At 37.4% G+C, this 16697-nt stretch overlaps 1 long non-coding RNA gene across 2 annotated transcripts in view; it reads right to left on the bottom strand.

Moving 5' to 3' along the window:
* The window catches only part of LOC105379149 (uncharacterized), a 49301-nt gene that overhangs the window by 27273 nt on the left and 5331 nt on the right, over nucleotides 1–16697 (bottom strand). For both annotated transcript variants that reach the window (XR_948712.3, XR_001742862.1), the window contains exons 2-3: nucleotides 10789–10865; nucleotides 10070–10274 (exon numbers count right to left, since the gene is read on the bottom strand). This is a non-coding gene — a long non-coding RNA (uncharacterized LOC105379149). The remainder of the gene's footprint in view (nucleotides 1–10069; nucleotides 10275–10788; nucleotides 10866–16697) is intronic.

Genomic DNA, 16697 nt, shown 5'->3' with positions numbered 1-16697 from the left:
CACCAATTTACCTGTGAGAATAAAGGTCCACATCCAAAGCAAGTGTACATAAATTAACTGGTTATTTAACATGTAAGTGTGGAAACAATTGCCAGCATAGTGGGAAAATTTTTAAGACTCTGTTTCTTTTAAAATACATGCATAGTTTATTTTTAAACATAAAATGTATCTTCATTGTAAAGAAATGAGATACTGTAGGCCGGGTGCCGTGGCTCACGCCTTTGGGAGGCCGAGGCGGGCGGATCACAAGGTTAGGAGATCGAGACTATCCTGGCTAACACGGTGAAACCCCGTCTCTACTAAAAACACAAAAAATTAGCCGGGCGTGGTGGCAGGCTGCTGTAGTCCCAGCTACTTGGAAGGCTGAGGCAGGAGAATGGCGTGAACCCGGGGGGCGGAGCTTGCAGTGAGCCGAGATCGAGCCACTGCACTCCAGCCTGGGCGACAGAGCAAGACTCCGTCTCAAAAAAAAAAAAAAAAAGAAAAAAGAAAGAAAGAATGAGAAATGAGATACCGTAGAAACCCTAGGAGGAATAAAATGCCTCTGAACTCAAAATATGTTACTTTCCCATCTTTTCTTAGTGCAGAGATTATATCCTCTTAAAATAGCTCTTTAAAAATTAAACTTTAAATAGCATTTAGTGTTAAAATAGTATTTATGTAATTGTTGCAGGGTACTGAAGAAAAAAGGGTAAGCACGCAGAAGAAAGTTCAAAACAACCCTAATTCGTCTTCTGCCGAGATTACTATTGTTAAAATGTTGATGGTAATGCTCAGAGGTTTAAAAAAATGAAAAACGTGTATTACAGACCCACAAAAGCGAATACAGACATATAAAACAGCTTTATATAGAGATATATAATTGACATACAATAAACTGCAGTTGCGGATAGTTCATGTGAATAGAGTCAACAGTATGTGCTCCTTTTTACTTGCTTTCTTTTAGTCAGTGTAATTATTTTAGGTTCCATCCACACTGTATCTTGTTTCAGTAGTTCCTTTTATTGCTGAGTAGTATTCCATTGTATGGATATACCACAATTCGTTTATCCTTTCATCTGATGATGGACATTTTTGTTGTTATAGTTTTTGGCTATTAAAATGAAGTCGTTATAGACATTCCTGTACAAGTCTTTCTGTGGTCAGATGCTCTCATTTCTCTTGATAAAATACCTTGTAGGAAAAGCCGGATTACATGATAGGTATATGTTTACTTTTTAAAGAAATTTCCAAACTGTTTTCCAAGGTGATTATGGCATTTTACATTCCCATCAGCAGAGTGTTAAGAGTTCAAGTTCCTTCACATTTTATGCTTACACATGGTATTGTCAGTCATTTAATTTTAATTAAAATTTAAAAATTTCTAATGACTGTGTGCTGGTGTTTCAATGTGTTTTTAATTTGCATTGAAGTATGTTTGCACCTGCCTTCTGTCAACCACATATTCTTGGTGAAGTGTATATTCAAATCTTTGTCCATTCATATATTGAGCTATTTGTTTTTGTTATGGTTGTTTGATTCTTATGGTTATTATCTGTCTTTGATATTAGCACTGCTTCTGTTTAGGTCTTCTTTATGTTATCTGTATATTACTGTGTCTATATTACTTTCCCTTATCTCCTTGGTCAGCTCAGATTATCTTTCTAGGTTAGTTGCCTTAGTTGTGAATTGAGAAAACTATTTACCTCCCATGGGTGGTTGAAAGAATTAAATAAGAGAATGCATACAGAGCATTTATCACAGTGCTTGACACAGGATAAGCACTTGGAATGCCCTTTAGTAGTTTTTATTGGATAATTCCTGTTTAATTATTCAAAATTAATTATCTTAATTATTCAGTAAGCAAGTATTATTGTTATTGAATATGAAAAGACCTTTACAGCTTACAAAGGATGTTTACAGATATTATATTGTTGCTATAATATATGGGTAGTGAGGTGAAAATTCTTGTATTATATGGGAGTGTCAAACTTGTAGTTTACTAGTAAGCTCCCTGCTCTCATATAGCTTCTTAAAAGCTATATTACATTATATTATTTCCCTGTAAATAAAAGGGATGCTTAAGATCTAGTTGCACTTAAACTTTGCTATTAGAAGGTGATTGATATTCACCAGGTAATTTCTCACTAGTTTTCACTTCAACACACCCATCTTTAATTTTATTTTCCCCCAAATTTTTCTCTTCCTAAAATATAGTACCCTAAAGAGAGGTTATGAAAATGATTGTTTAGAGTAGTATTAAATGTTGACTGCTGCTACTAGCGTTTTAGGAAAATTGATGCTCTTCATATAAATGTTTATCCCCTAAGTAATAAAATGCATAGATATAAAACAAATGTAATACATGAAATGTAATGCAGAAATGCCATTAAACACAATACACATTGAAATATTATGTTAATTTGTCAAAAATATTTCTTCTTCATATTACAAAACTTGTCATATAATTTGCTAGACTTTGAAAATGCAAGGATGTGGTAGGTCTTATGTTTATCTTCTGGGCATTTTGATTTCTAGTATTTATAGTAAAATTAATGTTCTAAAAAAATACAAACCGAGATCATTGCCCACCACTCTTCACAACTCATTTCTTTCTTAGTTGTAATGTCTTCGCTTCCTCTAAAACACCCTAAGCTTTCAGGCTTCTCTGGATTTCTCTCTGCTTCTTCACTTTCTTTTCCTCGCAGCTAGAACTCATCTTTCCAACCTCCTTTCACTGTTTCATCAAATATATTACCTTTTCTGTAAAGTCTTATATAGCATCATTCAGAATTAATCATTACTTTGTATTTGGTTAAGTATTTTGCTTATATCAAGAGCATATTGTATTATGTTATAATTCCTTGTATATTCATGTGTGTATGTATATGTCCTTAAGGGCAGAGCCTACTATTTATTCATTTTTAAATCCCCAGGCCTCAGCCTACAGCTTGACACATATTAAAAAATAAACACATATAAATGCTTTAAAATGTCCAAATATATTGGAATAGAAATTCTTATTTCATACAGTATACCAGTTTAGCCTAATACATTTTCATAAAGTATATCGGGAGACATCTTCACTTTAATTTAAATTACTTGAGGCTTTGCAGAAAATCTCTGTACTTGGTGGTTTCAGTCTCCAAAGGAATAACAATATTCACTCATTTCTCCTTTATAGATATATTAGACAATCATTGATGATATATGTGAAAATGCTTTGCCAATGGGAAATTAACTATATGAATGTGGATTTTTTTATTAAGCCATGTTTTGATTTATGTAATATATAGATCACATTTTATTATATTATTTACTTGAAAGCACTTTATTTTAAACACTAAACATTTTTTAGAATTTAAATACCTTGAAAAATCTTTGAAGAATATGCTACTCTTTTACATTAACAGATGGGATCAGAGTCATAAACAATGAGGAAAAAAGGTAGAAAGTAACTTGACCCCTTTATATTTGCATTTGTAATGAAGACATTTTTCTCTTTTTCTCATTTTTAAAAAATTCTCTTTTATATAACAAAGTCAGTCATGTAAGCAACTCTTCATTTTCATTGCTGACCTTGGTCCCTTCTAAAATTACTTGCTATCAGAAGCCTGTAATGTGATGAAGCCAGGGTGGAGATAAGTCCATTGATCACTATGGATTATGCACTTGCTGTTAATGGAATATTTGAGGGTTTTGAATAGAAAACAATAGAGGGTTTGTTTTCTACTTTTTGGGAAAAGAAAAAGCATATAATATATGTATTGCTCTGTTATCACTAGGAAGTCTCTCAGAATTCTGACGAGAGTAGTTGGACTCAGCTATGGAGTACTTTTCTTTGCCTTATGCTGGGGTCCACTGAAAACTGGGAACGTTTTAGGTAAGAACCATATACGAGTCAGAACCAAACTCCCAAGTGTAGTACATACTGCCTTTAAAACCAAAAGAGGTCTAGCAAATTCTGCTTTATTCGTTCATTTTATTCATTTAGGAATGGAAGTGCAAGGTGCAGTAACTCTTTACCTTGCAAGAGATGTTGGCTTTTCTTAAACCACTGGACTCTTAAAACTTCACCAATATTCCAGTCACTGGTTACCTTTTACCCTCTTAGCTGACTATCCAGAGTACTTTTTCACTTATTAGGTCTATTAACTTAGTGTCATCATTCCAATATGGTGGAATGTTCAAATAAGCCAGTTGTCTTTAGATTTATCATGACAGCAGGCAAGTCAGCATATCTCTGGAGCAAGACTGAATATATACTGTTGCCCATCCTAGATGGATGTAAACTACCTCAGATGCTTTCATGAAGAATACTGAAAATTACATATGCACCCAAATCAAAATTCACATACCATGAACTAGAGACTTAGTTAGTCTGTTTTAGTAAAGACACCACACCCAGGATAAGAGCTGTGATTGTGGATACTGCTTGGACAAGTCCACCATACTTCACTAATATTTTTTTGTTTTTTGCAGAGTCTACATTGGTGAATTAAATGGTGATAGAGTGGGAACCAACACCCCTGCCTCATTTAATTCTTTAGGGGTAAAACTAACCTCTGCCATTCCAAACAGGATGTGGAACTCATTAGTTTGAAGAACTTTGATGAATGGGAAGTTTCAGGGGCTTCCTCTTGAGTTTTCTGTGGAGATTTTTACTCCATATGTCAAGGAATCAATGTGAGGGTCCTGGTGCCTGCTAAGTATATGCATTCCAATTATGCATTTAGGAACTGAGATGATAGCAACTGGTAGGTCCATGGATATACTGTATCCACAGTGAGATAACCCTAGGGGAGGACTTCATTTGTCACAGGTCTTCCCTCTACCCTTACTATAATAATGGGCTATGGTCGTGCTTTGGGTTTCTGGATATCAGCATCAGTTGGACTCTGTATCCAATCCTTAAAGAATTGGGTATTTTTCTTTCTCTAGTGTATTATTACACAAGCAAATGGCCATAGATCCTTTTAGGAAAGGAAAGAGTTAATTCAAACTACATATACCTGCAACCCCAGCACTTTGGGAGGCTGAAGAGGGAGGATTGCTTGCTTGAGATCAGGAGTTTGAGATCAGCCTGTGCAACATAAGGAAAACCCATATCTCCAATAAATAAATAAATTAGCTGATCTTGGTGGTGTATATCTTTGGTTCCAGCTACTAGGAAGGCTGGGGTGGGAGAATCGCCTGAGCCCAGGAGTTCAAGGCTGCAATGAGCCGTGATTGCACCACTGCACTACAGCCTGGATGACAGAATGAGACCCTGTCTCAAAAACAATCAAAACAGCTATATCTCCTTGCTGTGTAGTTGCAGGGTCATTCTACAAGGAGACACATGTTCAATTGCTATGTCTGGGTGTGAACTGGCTCATGTCAAAGGCCAAGTACAGTGGCTCTTTCCTGTAATCCCAGCACTTTAGGAGGCCAAGAGGGGCAGACGGCTTGAGCTCAGGAGTTTCAGACCAGCCTGGGCGATATAGCGAGATCCTGTCTCAATTAAAAAAAAAAAAGAATTGGATCATGTCTGGAAACTAGACAATTGATTATAAATTTCCATTGAGGCAGCTGATATCATCCACTCTGGACCCCTTTTTATTATATCACGTATCTCAAGCTGGCTACTCACTTGTCTTGCCACTAGTAACAGCATGGTCCATAGACATTACCATACGTGTTGGCAGGTCAATGCCCCTGGTTGCCGTTTGATCTTCTGGCTATTGTGGTAGATTCAATTTACCTCTCTCTAGTGGATAAACGCTGTTATCTGGCCTTGCTATTCTGAATCCTGTCATACTCATTGATACTAGGGAACTTAGTTCTATATAACAGCATCTTTAATAATCAGTCCTGGCCTATACAACTGATCTTCTGAATAATGTTGATGACTCCCGCATTATCACGTTCATTTTTGCCTTGTGTAAACGGTGTACTCTGCCATCTAAGGAATGTGGTCGTCTGGTGGATTCTTGGGCCTTATACAGTAAATCCATTCCAGCATGCTCATTTTCTGAACTTGATCTCTCCCTCAATTCTGCACAGGCAGTTCTGCTATTTCTGTATCATTTAACATGTAGTATCAGTTTTTTGAAGATTTCAAAGAGCCATGCAGCAGTGTATTAATATTTTCTCTAGGGTCTCTTCAGGGAATTAAATCTTTAGTCATGGGAAAAGTGCCCCCACATCAACAAAACCACTCTTGTCAGGGAATTAAATCTTTAGTCATGGGAAAAGTGCCCCCACATCAACAAAACCCGCTTTTTTTTTGGAAGACAGAGTCTCGCTCTGTCGCCCAGGCTGCAGTGCATTGGTACGTTCTCAGCTCACTGCAACCTCCGCCTGCTGGGTTCAAGCGATTCTCTTGCCTCAGCCTCTCAAGCAGCTGGGACTACAGGCATATGCCACCATGCCTGGCTAATTTTTTGTGTTTTTAGTAGAGAACAGGTTTCACCATGTTGGTCTGCCTGGTCTCAAACTCCTGGCCTCAAGCAATCTGCCCACCTTGGCCTCCCAAAGTTCTGGGATTATAGGCATGAGCCACCGTGCCTGGCCAATTCCTGCTCTTGCACAACTTTATATTGTGTATAGTGGGGAGAGTTAGAACTCTCCCCACTCTGCCACAGTTTACACCCTCAAGATCCACTCCCAAGCATTCTGTCTCAGTTGATGCCAGTATATATTTACCAGATTTGTAGCTCCCTCTAAGTATAAACCTTCTATTTCACAGCAGGGTCAGCATCAGTATTTCTCTGTTTGGGCCATGCTTAATGATTGATGCCTAATTATTGATGTCAGAGTGTCTGGGTTGAATAATATCCCCCCCAAACTTTATGCCCATCCAGAACCTGTGAATGTGACCTTATTTGAAAACATGATCTTTGCAGATATAATCAAGTTGAAATAAGATTACTGGCTTAGGGTATTTACTAATTCAATGACTGATGTCCTTATAAGAAGAGGGAAATTTAGACAGACACATATACACAGAGGAGAGAAGGCCATGTGAAGTCAGAGGCAGAAATTAGAGCGATGCATCTACAAGCCAAGGAACACTAAGGATTGCCAGTAACAATCAGAAGCTAGAATAGGCAAGGAAGAATTCTTCCTTTGGGTCTTTGGAAGGAAGACGGTCCTGCCAATAGATACAGTGATTTTGGATTTCTAGCATCCAGAACTGTAAGAGAATAAATGTCTGTTGATATAAGCCCCCTAGTTTATGATACTTTATTATGACAACCATAGGAAACTAATACAAGGGGCCATCAGGGGCGATGTGGATCGATTTTGAGGAAAAGCATTGTCCTACTGGCACTAGCCTTGTTGGTGCCTCTGCATTGTCTCTGACAGGTGGGTTTGCTTCTTCCTTCCAGCAAGAAGCAGTTGGCCACTTCTGCAAGCCAATATGGTTCAATAATAAGCCAATAAGAAAATCTGGCAGCTGAATGAACTTAAATGCATTTTACCCAGATGTTTCTATTCCAAGTTTCAGTCTTTCTCTATCAGAGCCATAATTTTGGTGAAGGCAATGCATTCAGCCTTCAGTGAAATTCTCCTACTTTTACAATCAAGTCCTGATATGGTTTGGCTGTGTCCCCACTCAAATCTCACATTGAATTGTAACAATCCCCACATGTCAAGAGCAGGGCCAGGTGGAGATAATTTAATCTTGACTCATGGGGGTGGTTTCCCCCATACTATTCTCGTGGTAGTGAGTAAGTCTCACAAGATCTGATAGTTTTATAAATGGGAGTTCCTCTTCACATGCTCTCTTGCTTGCCACCATGTACAATATGACTTTGCTCCCCCTTCGCCTTCTGCAATGTTTGTGAAGCCTCCCCAGCCATGTGGAACTGTGAGTCAATTAAACCTCTTTCCTTTATAAATTACCCAGTCTCAGGTATGTCTTTATTAGCAGTGTGAGAACACACTAGTACAAGTCCTGTGCCTTTTCTTCTGCTCAGGCTGGTTCTCAGACTCCAGGACAGGGATTTGCAAATTTCTTCTATAGATGGCCAGACAATAAATATTTTAGGCTTTGCAGGCCATACAGTCTCTGTTGCGACTATTAAACTGCTCTTGTAGTATGAATGCAGCCACAGGGAATGAATAAGCATGGTTGTGTGCTAATAATAATAATGCATAATTTATTTAATAAATTGTGTTGTGTATATTTGAGATTTACGACATGATGTGATGGGATACATATAAACGGTAATATGGTTACTATAGTGAAGATTAACAGATTAAAAATGTCTGTGATCTCACATTGTATTATTGTGACAAAAGCAGCTAAAACTATTTATTTAACAAAAATCCCTAATGCAATACAATTGTATTAAGTATAGTCCTCATGTTATATATCAGATTTCTAGACTTGTTCATCCTACACATCTGCTACTTTGCATCCTTTGACCTACATCTCCCCATTTCTCCCTTCATCCCCCCCCCATCCCTGGTAACCACTGTTTTATTTTCTGTCTGCATATTTTACCTTTTTTTCCCCTTAGATTTCACATATAACTGAGATCATGCGGTATTTTTCTTCCTGTGGTTGACTTATTTCACTTAACATTTATAAAAAACAATAAGGGATCAGATTTGGCCCAAGGTCTGGAGTTTGTTGACTCCTGCTCTAGGACATGAGGGTCCCTTTAAATTTCACTATGGGGAAATTTCTGATTTTCGTATCATTAAGCTGGTAAGTAAATCAGTTGAGTCTGCCATTTTCTCTTTTTTAAAACTTTAGTATAACCTAGTTAAAAGCAATCAATTCCACATTTTCACGATAGTCATAAATCAAGACAGATACTGCCCAAGCCAGGGCATCTCTTTGTATTTGTCCCAATTAAATAGGCGAATATTCTAGCAATTTCAGTGCCACAGAATTCCAGAAGCTATCAAACTCATCACCAGTATGGTGGAAAGGGAGTACAGTGTTTTATTATTTGCTAAGTATGTGATCCAGCTCCTGAATCCCATATTAAATTTGCTTCTCAGGAACACTTTCAGTAAAAACCGTTTTAGGTTAAATTGGTAAGCAGACTTTGACAAAAAGACTCATTCACAAGTGATTTATTAAGGAGATACTGCCAGGAGAAACCAATAAGGAGCTAGAGGTAGTAGGAAAGGGAGAAATAATAAAAGGGCCCGATTTCAGCAAAATCCAGTGAAGATAAAGATGACTTGGATGTGCAACCTCTGCAATTGCACAGGGACCTTCACTCAGAGGGGAGCTTGCTTGGCTTAATGTTCTGCTGTTATGTCTTGAAATTCTTAAACTTTATCTTTGAATTTGTATTTGTGGTTGAAGTTTGATGGGAAAATGGAGCATGCAATTGAGCAGAGGAGAGAAGTGCAATTTATGTGTTTCCCATTTCTTGCCTTCCCATTCATATGTAGCATTTGCAATGGCCCATAAGCATGGAATTTTGGTGACTCAGCAGTAGTGGGAGTTCAGCAAGACTCAAAGCAAGCACAAAAGTGGATTGAGTCTATGACTGAATACATCAGGGTGCCAACAGCTCCTAGAAGCTGTGCTTTCCCTTTAAAACAGCACTTGCTGAGAATGCAGAAAGAAGTCAATGGCATTCTCAGATACACACACAACCAAAGAAACATCAGGTTTATTCTTACTAGAGTTACCTCCCTGTGTTAGTGACTACTTATGCGAAAAACGATGACACAGAAGGAAAGTGGGAAATAAAGCAAACCACAGTTCATTTTTCTTTTACTCCTTCCTTCTCAGTAAGCCAAAGTGAGTGTTGATAGAATGTGAGCCTATCAATAAATGAAAGAAAAACACTTCCGTTACTTTTGTGTAGTGTATGCATTGTTTTGGTAACAATGAAATACATGTGCATGTACAAGCTACAAAATACAAATTGTGTAATTAGAGATTTTGCATATGAGTTAATTGCTTTTATATTGGTATTAAAACAGGCATTGCACAATCTAAAGATGAATGGGGAAATATAGGCTTACGATTTAAAATTTTAAGCTTTTTTAAAAAAACTTAGAATGACATAAAAGCAAATAAAAACGTCATGACAAGACAGATCATAGAAGAAAATATTCTATATTTTAGTACCTCTAATAGCACTTTGTTCCTGCTTTTTGAAGAAGGTAGCCACACGTTTTTTTGTACTGAATCCTCTGTGCAGAATAATATCAGTTGACCCCACAGGGAAAATCAGGAACACAGAAAATCAGGAGCTCAGAAATTGTCCTAAGATGGAGCGAGGGAGTTGGGCTTTCATACTCTTGCACCAGCCACTCATTGTCTCAGGACCACTCTGGAAAGATATAAACACCCATGTTCTGTGCTGGCTTTCATGTCCTATCAAAGTAGCTCCAGTAGTCTGAGGACTGATATCCTAATTGAGTTATAACTTCTCTTGTTAGAGGCAGCATGCAGATAGCGGGGTGGAGAGGCACACAAATAGTAAAATGTTTACAAAAAGGTCTTGGGCTGAATACCAACACCTATTCACTTGTTGTCTGACCTAATGTCTTATTGTGATTGGCACAGGAACCAGTAGAAAATAGATGGAGCATGTAAATTAGAATTCTAGACAGGTTTCATAGAAGGATTGTATACAAATGTATGTGAAGGGAGGTCAGAAAAGATAGTTGAGTGGCCTGGAGTTAGTCTCAAGGGGAGGTGTTATCAGAACCCAGGTGTGAGTGAGCTCTTCAGAGACAATCACATAGAGAAGAGTAGGGGCACCTGGTCAAGGAGCAGATAGCACCTCAGGAATCCTTGGAGGATAGAATTTAGGAGAATGAATACTCTGGCCTCTTTCTTACCTTGGATCTCTTAGGTTGAAACTAACAGGAAGCCATGAGATAGTGAATCCTCTGTTGTAGTGCATTCAGATCAGCCCCTTGGGAAGCAAACAGGGTAGGGGTGGATTTGTTGGGTCAAACATAAGGTATTAGGCTTTCTGATGCTCTTCCAATCTACTGTCCATAGAGAGGCAATAGATAACTTTTTAAAGTATAAATATGACTAAATTATTCCCATGCTTTAAACCTTTTAGTGTTTCTATATTAAACTATAGCCCTGCAAAGTATACTCTCTGTTGCTGCATTGTGGCTCTTCTTTTGCCAGTTCCAGCATCTTTTACTCTCCTCCAACCCCAATATGCTCCAGTCATTATGAACTTGCTTTTAGACAGCGGATGTACATTTTTTTCTTTCCCACAGGCTTCTGTATGCTGTGTCCACTACCTGGATCACTGGCCCATCCAGGACTAATCACAGAGGGAGTGTGGGCAGAGGATTACAAAGCTCTTTCCCCTTCTGTATGAAATTATGACCACCAGTTAACTGGCTCTGTTAAATATGGAGTCTATTTCTAGACAATCTTCCTTATGGGAACATTACCCTTGATTGGCAAAGTAACACTGGGCTTCTCTGAGTGTGGTGACTCTTATTTCCAGGTATATTCTTTGTGTGGTCACTGGAAAGTATGGAGTTGTTACAAGAGAGTGGCTCTTGTCAGCTATGAGGCTTTCCATCTAGGGAATCTCCTATATGCATTTTATGTGGATCCTGTCTCTTGGCTTTTGAGTTGTTACACAGGGGAGAAAATAGCTTCTGGAGAGCTATATGAGTTGCTGTATGAAATACTGCAGGTGTCCACATTGATGAGGAATGCTTGGTACTACACTACCAGTAAGCTGCAGTTCGTGTTCTGTGTCCTTCTTAGTGGCATGTGCTAGTGTTGTAAATTTAAATGTTTAGTTGAACTCAAGAAAACCCTTTGGTAGTCACTGAAGGGAATAAAAAAATTAGAGTGGATTTATCCTCTGACAGCTCCCATGCTGCTTCTTCTTTTCCATAGTTGTGCAACTGTGTCTACTCTCGCCCTGTCCTTTCGTGGCTTTGTTTGCTGGCTAATTCCCATCATTTGTCGCATCATTTCTTAGATGGTTCTTAGAAGCCTTCATTTCCCTATAGGGCATCTCAACTCCTTGTACTTACTCTGTCATAACACTGGATTATAATGATTTACTTTTTTAACCCCACTAAATTAAGAGATTCTGGTTGTTTGGGAATGTCCCTTTTCTCACTCCTGTGTATACAGCATTTAGTATGGTTCTCGATGCAATGGAGTCAATAATATTGTTAATGAACATAATTATGAACTAAACTTCCCTCAAATCCTCAAACTTTCTTAGTTCCAAATTATACTTTAGGAAAAAAGTCGAGGAGAGTTATGGTTTTTTTAAATTTAATTATAGTTCACTTAATGGCTTATTTTTGTCTAGCTCTATTGCTAGTAGAGGCAAGTGACCACATATTTTGAGCCTTACATGCTTAAAGATTAAATAGTTATCTTCAACTCAGCTAAATTCAGTTCAAAAAATGTCTTTAGAACCTGGTTCTAGAAGGGTAAGAATCAAATAATACTGCAAAAGAGTAAAAGTAAGTTGGATCGTATGGCCTATGTGGACTCATGGCAAAGTGGTAGAGCCACATTTAATCACAGAAAGTCATAGAAAGTCAGCTGTATTAGCATCTCAAACCCAAGTGCAGGAGAAGGATTAGTGAATGCCTTGTAGAGAAGGTAGGATTTGACTACAGTCTTAAAAAAGGTTGAGGGATGATGACTGTATGCAGAAAAAATAGAATCAGAAACTTAAAGGTGAAAGGTCAAACTTACATTTGGAGCAGGAAAAGTGTATACTAAACTTCTGTGGTGCTTGGTCCAATATGGCCAATATACATTGTACCTTAGAAGAGGATGGGTTTGAAATTGGGCTTGAGTTTTAAGTCGTCTTTCTAGTTCTAAAGAATTTAATAGTGTGTATGTCCTTGCTTGCTGTAATACGGAAATGATAATCTTAGGAAATGATAAAGTTCATGAAACATACATATGCTGGCCTTTATGTGTGCCAGGAGTAGAAATTTTAAGTGCTAGAACTCTTGCAAGGATGCTACTTCCATCAAAGATGTGGTTTACCACTGTCACTCAAGTTACATAAAAGAGAGTACTTCCAGTTCACAGATTGGACATAGAAAAACCAAGGATGCTTGATGACTAATTGTATTTTCGAAATCCTGTCTGCTTGTTATTTTTTAATTCTTTAACATTGGCTCACAAGTAAATATCTTTGAAAGTGTTTTTATTTATGTTAAAGTTCCCAAGACACTGCAGATTTTATGTCACTAAAACCTTTTTGATAATTATAACTTAATTCTCCTACTTTGAACAATTTCTATAACTTAAAACAGGATATGGTAATATAGCATTTAAACATAAGCTCTTGGCTTTCTCCAGTGATTATAATGAAGAAAGGTCATAGCCACTGAGTGCCTGTATATGGAGAATACTATACAAGACTTACTAAGAGCATCCTTTCATTGAACCTTCACAAACATGCTGTGCAGTAGGAATCAGTTTACCCATTTTTTTCTCTTTACAAATTGCAGAGAATATGCACACATTTATCTTCCATTTTATACAATTTGTATGAATATAGAAAAATGTTTCTGATAATTCAGTTTTTAATCAAAATGGGAGAAATATTTTAGATATTGAATAACATAGCAGTGCTCTATTGTTGTAGGAAAAAAATGAAAGGGTCAATCAATTTTCTTCAGAATGTTTACAAATATCAGTTCTGTATTTAGAATAGTCAACAACTCAATTAACTAGAGTCTGCTAACCCCATTTAGTCACTACCATATCTTGGAATATTATATGAATCATGTGGGAAGCTACAAGGAAAGAAAAGGCACTAATCCTGTTCTCAGGAATCTTATACAAAATTCTATAATTTAACCATTCCATTTTGAGAAATTTACCATATTGAAAAAAGGCAAAAGTATATATTGAAGTATATATTGATCCAATATCCTGTATTGGAAAAGGAGATAGTATATAAAGATGTATGTTAACTTCATTGCAGTGTGGTATATACAAATTAAAAACTGAATGTAAATTATCAACAGAACATTAAGAAATTACTGAAGAGTCATACCATGGAATACCACTCAGCCCTTTAATAAAACAAAGTAGTCCTCTTTGTGTTAATATGGGGAGATATTAATAAGATATTATTCATGGGAAAAGCAATGTATGCCTGTGTATGTGATTCTATATTTGGAGGGATAAAAAAAGGTGAATATGTAAGTATGTACACACACAGATGCACGAGAGAGAAAGAGAAAGACAAACGAATAAATAGGGTAAAATGTCAGAAAAGATTGGCAACAACCTATTAACCATGGCAACCTCTGACCATCACAATTGGATGGATTGGAGAAAGGAAATGTGACTTTAATTTTTTTATACATTAACTTTTTATACATTTTAAAATAGTGTGATTAAAAGCTATTTTACTTTTTCAGTATTAAAATTAAAAAAATTAAAAGAGACTTTTGAAGAGGCCAGATCATCATAGATGGGAGAAATAAATCTCAACACAGGCTAATGAATTTGGTCTACTCATCTGTCTGAGAGTGGTGGAATTTGTGGCACAGGGAGAGACATGGGGATGAGAAATAATTTGCAGAGATCAAGAGGCAAATTGAGATGGCAATGTAGGTTTAGGAAATGTTAGTAGAGAATTAAATAGAGTCAGTTGTGCAAAAGATTATGAACAAGTGTGCTTGCTGGAAGGGGAATGGGGATTTGTGCTAACTAGAATCTAGGGCTGTTGTATTGTCATTGGTATTGCAGTGTTTTCTATATTCAACCACATTTTAAAAATATTATTCATATTTTATTAGCATTACTATCAGTTATATTTTCCATCAACCATATTATTAACTTGGTCCACTTAGATATGAATTACACTATAGTAAAGATAATACAGGTTTCACTTCTTGTTTTTTTCCTGGGGTAAAAGTAATACAAATTTCAGTTCACAGACCTTCACAATAATTTCTTGTTGCCTTTGAGCATGAATAAATTTCTGTCCAAAAATCTGCAATGAATTTTAATAAATCAGAGTTTTGTGCTTCATCTAATTATAAGCCCAAAGCTAACTTGTGAATATATCTTCATGATATAGAAAAATGGTGTCACCAAACTTCTCATTCACCAAATTAATGACATGCACTCATGCATGCCTACTGGAAAAACACTAAAATAAATGGAATATGGAGATATTTTAGGATAGTGTATGCAGGACACTTTTGAGATTATCCCTTATCACCAAATAATTGTTTCCATAAATGTAGAAATTAGTCATTTTTACCCAACTAATTTTTCAAAATCCCATTTTTCCCTTTTTCCCTCTGTATAAAGTGAGATTTTATTGCTTTGCATTATTAAGTACCCATAAGGTACATGACATTCACAGTTTAAGGTCCCTGTCTATAGCACATTTGTAATCACATTTGTAATCCAATCCAGAGAATAGACAGCTGGATCAAGCATTTTATAAAGCATGTTATAAAATATGGTATAAAAATATGTTACTTCTCTTGCTTTCTCTAGCAGATAAACTAGTTCTCGGCGACAAAACCAATTACAGAGATTGCCAGAATATCATTGTTGTGGAATTCAGAGTTATTCATTTTCTTTGGCTTTGGGATTCTCTGCACTATTTTCCTTGATCTCTGGATTCTATTTGAAACCTCCTAGAACTTAATCTTCTCAGGTTAACTATTTGCATTGTAAGACTTTGTCTTAGTCTGTTTTGTTCTGCTCTAGCAGAACACCACAGACCGGGTAATTTATAATAAACAGAAGTTGATTGACTTTACAGTTGTGGAGGCTGGGAAGTCCAATGCCAGGGTGCTAGCAACTGGTGAGAGAGCCTTCATCATAGCATGGCAGAAGGGAAAAGAGAGAGGGGGAGTGAAAGAGAATGTGAGCAAGAGAGGCTGAACTCACTCCTGTGATAACAGCGTTAGTCAATTTATGAGGGCAGAGCCCTCATGACCTAAACACTTATTACTGGTCCCATCTCCCAGTACTGTCACAATGGCAAGAAAATTTCAACCTGAGTTTTAAAGGGGACAAACGCTGAAACCATATTAGGGTTGCATTGTTACCAGCAGTAAATCTGTATGGGTCTTTAGCAACCTCAATTCTAGCCTCTTCTGAAGACAGAATTCGGGCCAGGTGTGGTGGCTTATGCCTGTAATCCTAGCATTTTGGGAGGCTGAGGCAGGCGGATCATGAGGTCAAGAGATCGACACCATCCTGGCCAACATGGTGAAACCCCATCTCTACTAAAAATACATAAATTAGCTGCGTGTGGTGGTGTGTGCCTGTAGTTCATTACTAGGGAGGCTGAGACAGGAGAATCACTTGAACCCAGGAGGCAGAGGTTGCAGTGATCCGAGATCACGCCCTTGCACTCCAGCCTGGCAACAGAGTGAGACTCTGTCTCAAAAAATCAAGTGAGGGGCTTAAGGCAGAAGGAGATACCAAGGTAGGTTTTAGAGCAGGAGTGAAAGTTTATTAAAAAGATTCAGAGCAGGAATGAAAGGAAGTAAAGGACACTTAGAAGATGGCCAAGCAGTGACTTGAGAGATCAAGTGCCATGTTTGACCTTGACTTGAGGTTTTATATGTTGGCGTACTTCTAAGTTCTTGCATCCCTTTACCCCCGATTCTTCCCTTGGAGTGGGCTGTCCCCATGTGAGTGGCTTGCTAGCACTTCGGAGGTGAGCATGCACAGTGTTTACTGAAATTGTACACATGCACATTTGAGGCCTTCTTCCCTTACCAAGTAAATGTCCCTGGAAGATCAC

This window comes from Homo sapiens, chromosome 5, assembly GCF_000001405.40.
Source record: "Homo sapiens chromosome 5, GRCh38.p14 Primary Assembly".
NCBI lineage: Eukaryota > Metazoa > Chordata > Mammalia > Primates > Hominidae > Homo > Homo sapiens.
This window is presented reverse-complemented; position numbering and strand designations above follow the sequence as displayed.